Source organism: Homo sapiens, chromosome 4 (genome assembly GCF_000001405.40).
Source record: "Homo sapiens chromosome 4, GRCh38.p14 Primary Assembly".
In the NCBI taxonomy this organism is placed as follows: domain Eukaryota; kingdom Metazoa; phylum Chordata; class Mammalia; order Primates; family Hominidae; genus Homo; species Homo sapiens.
In genome coordinates, this window is record NC_000004.12 from 46,722,697 (window position 1) to 46,728,198 (window position 5,502).

A 5,502-nucleotide genomic window follows, 5' to 3' on the forward strand; every position below is an offset into this window, starting at 1 on the left:
AAGGATCCAGTTTCAGCTTTCTACATATGGCTAGCCAATTTTCCCAGCACCATTTATTACATAGGGACTCCTTTCCCCATTTCTTGTTTTTGTCAGGTTTGTCAAAGATCAAATGGTTGTACATGTGTGGTGTTATTTCTGAGGGCTCTGTTCTGTTCCATTGGCCTATATCTCTGTTTTGGTACCAGTACCATGCTGTTTTTGTTTCTATAGCCTTGTAGTATAGTTTGAAGTCAGGTAGTGTGATGCCTCCAGCTTTGTTCTTTTTGCTTAGGATTGTCTTGGCAATGCAGGCTCTTTTTTGGTTCCATGTGAACTTTAAAGTAGTTTTTTCCAATTCTGTGAAGAAAGTCATTGGTAGTTTCATGGGGATGGCATTGAATCTATAAATTACCTTGGGCAGTATGGCCGTTTTCATGATATTGATTCTTCTTCTCCATGAGCATGGAATGTTCTTCCATTTGTTTGTGTCCCCTTTTATTTCTTTGAGCAGTGGTTTGTAGTTCTCCTTGAAGAGGTCCTTCACATCCCTTGGAAGATGGATTCCTAGGTATTTTATTCTCTTTTTAGCAATTGTGAATGGGAGTTCACTCATGATTTGGCTCTCTGTTTGTCTGTTATTGGTGTATAAGTATGCTTGTGATTTTTGCACATTGATTTTGTATCCTGAGACTTTGCTCAAGTTGCTTATCAGCTTAAGGGGATTTGGGGCTGAGACGATGGGGTTTTCTAAACATACAACCATGTCATCTGCAAACAGGGACAATTTGACTTCCCCTTTTCCTAATTGAATACCCTTTATTTCTTTCTCCTGCCTGATTGCCCTGGCCAGAACTTCAACAGTATGTTGAATAGAAGTGGTGAAAGAGGGCATCCCTGTCTTGTGCCAGTTTTCAAAGGGAATGCTTCCAGTTTTTGCCCATCCAGTATGTAATTGGCTTTGGGTTTATCATAAATAGCTCTTTTTTTTTTTTTGGTTCAAAAAATGGTTTTATGGAAAAATTAATCTGTAACAAAAAGTTGGCATTGAGTGCGAAGGCTCCACCGTTTTTTTTCTTGGTTTTTTTTTTTTTTTTTGAGCAAAGCGTACAAAGGTTCCAAGGGACAGGACCAAGAACGAGGGGCTGAGACATTTACAACAGCAGGCATTTTCTCTTCCTCTTCTTCACGGGAGGCGGGCAGAGGACTGCTCGGATCGCTTCGTCAAACACTGTCTTGATGCCTCGCTGTGTGAGCGCCGAGCGCTCCAGGTATTTTACAGCACCAATCTCCTTAGCCATGGCTAGACCCTGCGGATAGGTGATGGGAGTCAGCTTCTTCTCCTTCAGTTTCTCGATCGGGTCTTTATCATCCCTAAGATCAAGTTTAGTTCCCACTAGGATGATGGGAGTGTTGGGACAGTGGTGCCGCACCTCAGGATACCACTTTGCACGGACATTTTCAAATGATGCAGGACTCACAAGGGAAAAGCAAATTAAGAACACATCTGTTTGCGGATAGGATAGGGGGCGTAATCTGTCATAATCTTCTTGTCCAGCTGTATCCCATAAGCCCAGATTCACCGGTTTTCCATCTACCATAACATTGGCAGAATAATTGTCAAAGACAGTAGGGATATATTCTCCAGGAAATGCATTGGTTGTGTAACTGATCAGTAGGCAAGTTTTACCTACAGCTCCGTCTCCCACCACCACAAACTTGATGGCCTGCATCAGGGCCGCTCGCTGGGCCGCGGCGGCGGCGGCAGGGCGCTGAGATAGGAAGCGGCGGGCTCGGGGCGCGGCGGACGGGCGCGCGGCTTCCGGGCGGCGGGGCGCTGGGTGCCGGGGCCGCTGTCCACGCCGCCTCGCCCTCCGCGGACTGGAAGCCGATGCCCGGCAGCGGCCACCACCCAAAGCTGAGGAAAACTGCCATAAATAGCTCTTATTATTTTGAGATACGTTCCATCAATACCTAGTTTATTGAGGGTTTTTAGCATGAAGAGCTGTTGAATTTCATTAAAAGCCTTTTCTGCATCTATTGAGATAATTGTGTGGTTTTTTCTTTGGTTCTGTTTATGTGATGGATTCCATTTATTGATTTGTGTATGTTGAACCAGCCTTGCATCCCAGGGATGAAGCCAACTTGATCTTGGTGGATAAGCTTTTTGATGTGCTGCTGGATTTGGTTTGCCAGTATTTTATTGACGATTTTCACATTGACGTTCATCAGGGATTTTGGTCTAAAATGCTTTTTTTGTTGTGTCTCTGCCAGGCTTTGGTATTAGGATGATGCTGGCCTCGTAAAATGAGTCAGGGAGGATTCCCTCTTTTTCTATTGATTGGAATATTTTCAGAAGGAATGGTATCAGCTCCTCCTTGTACCTCTGGTAGAATTTGGCTGTGAATCCGTCTGGCCCTGGACTTTTTTTTGTTTGGTAGGCTATTAATTATTGCCTCAATTTCAGAGCCTGTTATTAGTCTATTCAGTGATTCAACTTCTTCCTGGTTTAGTCTTGGGAGGGCATATGTTTCCAGGAATTTATTCATTACTTCTAGATATTCTAGTTTATTTGCATAGAGGTGTTTATAGTATTCTCTGATGGTAATTGGTATTTCTGTGAGATTGATGGTGATATCCCCTTTATCATTTTTTATTTTGTCTATTTGATTCTTCCCTCTTTTCTTCATTAGTCTTGCTAGTGGTCTATCAATTTTGCTGATCTTTTCAAAAAACCAGCTCTACACACTGCTTTAAATGTGTCCCAGAGATTCTAGTATGTTGTGTCTTTGTTCTCACTGGTTTCAAAGAACATCTTTATTTCTGCCTTCATTTTGTTATCTACCCAGTAGTCATTCAGGAACAGGTTATTCAGTTTCCATGTAGCTGTGCAGTTTTGAGTGAGTTTCTTAATCCTGAGTTCTAATTTGATTGCACTGTGGTCTGAGAGGCAGTTTGTTGTGATTTCTGTTCTTTTACATTTGATGAGGAGTGCTTTACTTCCAACTATGTGGTCAATTTTGGAATAAGTGTGATGTGGTGCTGAGAAGAATGTATATTCTGTTGATTTGGGGTGGAGAGTTCTGTAGATGTCTATTAGGTCTGCTTGGTGCAGAGCTGAGTTCAATTCCTGGATATCCTTGTTAACCTTCTGTCTCGTTGATCTAATACTGACAGTGAGGTGTTAAAGTCTCCCTTTTTTTTTTTTAAGACAGTGTCTTGCTCCATCGTCCAGGCTGGAGTGCAGTGGCATGATCTTGGCTCACTGCAAGCTCTGCCTACTGGGTTCATGCCATTCTCCTGCTTCAGCCCCCCAAGTAGCTGGGACTATATGCGCCCACCACCACACCCGGCTAAATTTTTTTTTGTATTTTTATTAGAGACAGGGTTTCACCATGTTAGCCAGGATGGTCTCAATCTCCTGAACTCAAGATCCGCCCACCTCGGCCTTCCAAAGTGCTGGGATTACAGGTGTGAGCCACCATGCCTGGCCAAAGTCTCCCATTATTATTGTGTGGGAGTCTAAGTCTCTTATAGTTCTCTAAGAACTTGCTTTATGAACCTGGGTGCTCCTGTATTTGGTGCATATATGTTTAGGACAGTTAGCTCTTCTTGTTGAATTGATCCCTTTACCATTCTGTAATGGCCTTGTCTCTTTTGAACTTTGTTGGTTTAAAGTCTGTTTTATCAGAGACTAGGATTGCAGACTAGGATTGCAACCCCTGCTTTTTTTTGCTTTCCATTTGCTTGGTAGATCTTCCTCCATCCCTTTATTTTGAACCTATGTGTGTCTCTGCACGTGAGATGGGTCTCCTGAATACAGCACACTGATGGGTCTTGACTCTTTATCCAGTTTGCCAATTTGTGTCTTTTAATTGGGGGCATTTAGCCCATTTACATTAAGGTTAATATTGTTATGTGTGAATTTGATCCTGTCATTATGATGTTAGCTGGTTATTTTGCCCATTAGTTGATGCAGTTTCCTCCTAGTATCAATGGTCTTTACAATTTGGCATGTTTTTGCAGTGGCTGGTTGCCTATTCAGTATGACATTGGCTGTGGGTTTGTTATAAATAGCTCTTATTATTCTTTTTCATGTTTATTGATTCCTTCAGGAGCACTTGTAAGGCAGGCCTGGTGGTGACAAAACTCTCAGCATTTGCTTGTCTGTAAAGGATTTTATTTCTCCTTCACTTACGAAACTTAGTTTGGCTGGATATGAAATTCTGGGTTGAAAATTCTTTTCTTTACGAATGTTGAATATTGGCCCCCACTCTATTCTGGCTTGTAGAGTTTCTGCCGAGATATCCGCTGTTAGTCTGATGGGCTTCCCTTTGTGGGTAACCTGATCTTTCTCTCTGGCTGCTCTTAACATTTTTTCCTTCATTTCAACCTTGGTGAATCTGACAATTATGTGTATTGGAGTTGCTCTTCTTGAGGAGTATCTTTGTGGTGTTCTCTGTATTTCCTGAATTTGAATGTTGGCCTGCCTTGCTAGGTTGGGGAAGTTCTGGATAATCCTGAAGAGTGTTTTCCAGCTTGATTCCATTCTCCTCATCACTTTCAGGTACACCAATCAAACGTAGATTTGGTCTTTTCACATAGTCCCATATTTCTTGGAGGCTTCATTTGTTTCTTTTTACTCATTTTTCTCTAATCTTCTCACTTCATTTAATTAATTTGATTTTCAGTCACTGATATCCTTTCTTCCACTTGATCAAATCGACTACTGAAGCTTGTGCATGTGTCACATAGCTCTTGTGCCATTGTTTTCAGCTCCATCAGGTCATTTAAGGTCTTCTCCACACTGTTTATTCTAGTTAGCCATTCATCTAATCTTTTTTCAAGGTTTTTCACAGCTTTTTTCACAGCTTCCTCGTGATGGGTTCTAACATCCTCCTTTAGCTCAGAGAAGTTTGTTGTTACCGACCTTCTAAGGCATACTTCTGTCAACTCATCAAAGTCATTCTCCATCCAGCTTTGTTCTGTTGCTGGCAAGGAGCTTCCCAGGTAAGGCGATGCCCCACCCTGCTTTGGCTCGCCCTCTGAGGGCTGCACCCACTGTCCAACCAGTCCCATTGAGATGAACCAGGTACCTCAGTTGGAAATGTAGAAATCAGCTGGCTTCTGCATCAATCATGTTGGGAGCTGCAGACTGGAGCTGTTCCTATTCAGCCATCTTGGAACAGACCTCGCATTTTTTATAATTTTTATGGTTTACATATGGCCTGAATATAATTCCAGTGAGAAAGGTTAGAAACAGTAAAAAAAAAATCATCTGGGCATGGTGGCTCATGCCTATAATCCCAGCACTTCGGGAGGCTGAGGAGGGCAGATCACTTGAGGTCAGGAGATGGAGACCATCCTAACTAACATGGTGAAACCCATCTCAACTAAAAATACAAAAATTAGCTGGGTGTGGTGCCATGTGCCTGTAATCCCAGCTACTCAGGAGGCTGAGGCAGGAGAATTGCTTGAACCCAGGAGGTGGAGGTTGCAGTGAGCAGCGATTGTGCCATTGCA

General features: G+C 42.6%; 1 pseudogene, besides 2 other annotated features; it reads right to left on the reverse strand.

Annotated features, from left to right (window-relative positions):
* RAC1P2 (Rac family small GTPase 1 pseudogene 2) lies at positions 974-1,911 on the reverse strand (annotated as a pseudogene).
* Positions 1,276-1,777: an enhancer, noted in NCBI's record as "H3K27ac hESC enhancer chr4:46725989-46726490 (GRCh37/hg19 assembly coordinates)". NCBI's record gives its function as "activates a minimal SCP1, AML or CMV promoter by ChIP-STARR-seq in naive H9 embryonic stem cells {active_cell/tissue: H9 hESC(naive)}" and the evidence as "EXISTENCE:reporter gene assay evidence [ECO:0000049][PMID:30033119]".
* Positions 1,778-2,277: an enhancer, noted in NCBI's record as "H3K27ac hESC enhancer chr4:46726491-46726990 (GRCh37/hg19 assembly coordinates)". NCBI's record gives its function as "activates a minimal SCP1, AML or CMV promoter by ChIP-STARR-seq in naive H9 embryonic stem cells {active_cell/tissue: H9 hESC(naive)}" and the evidence as "EXISTENCE:reporter gene assay evidence [ECO:0000049][PMID:30033119]".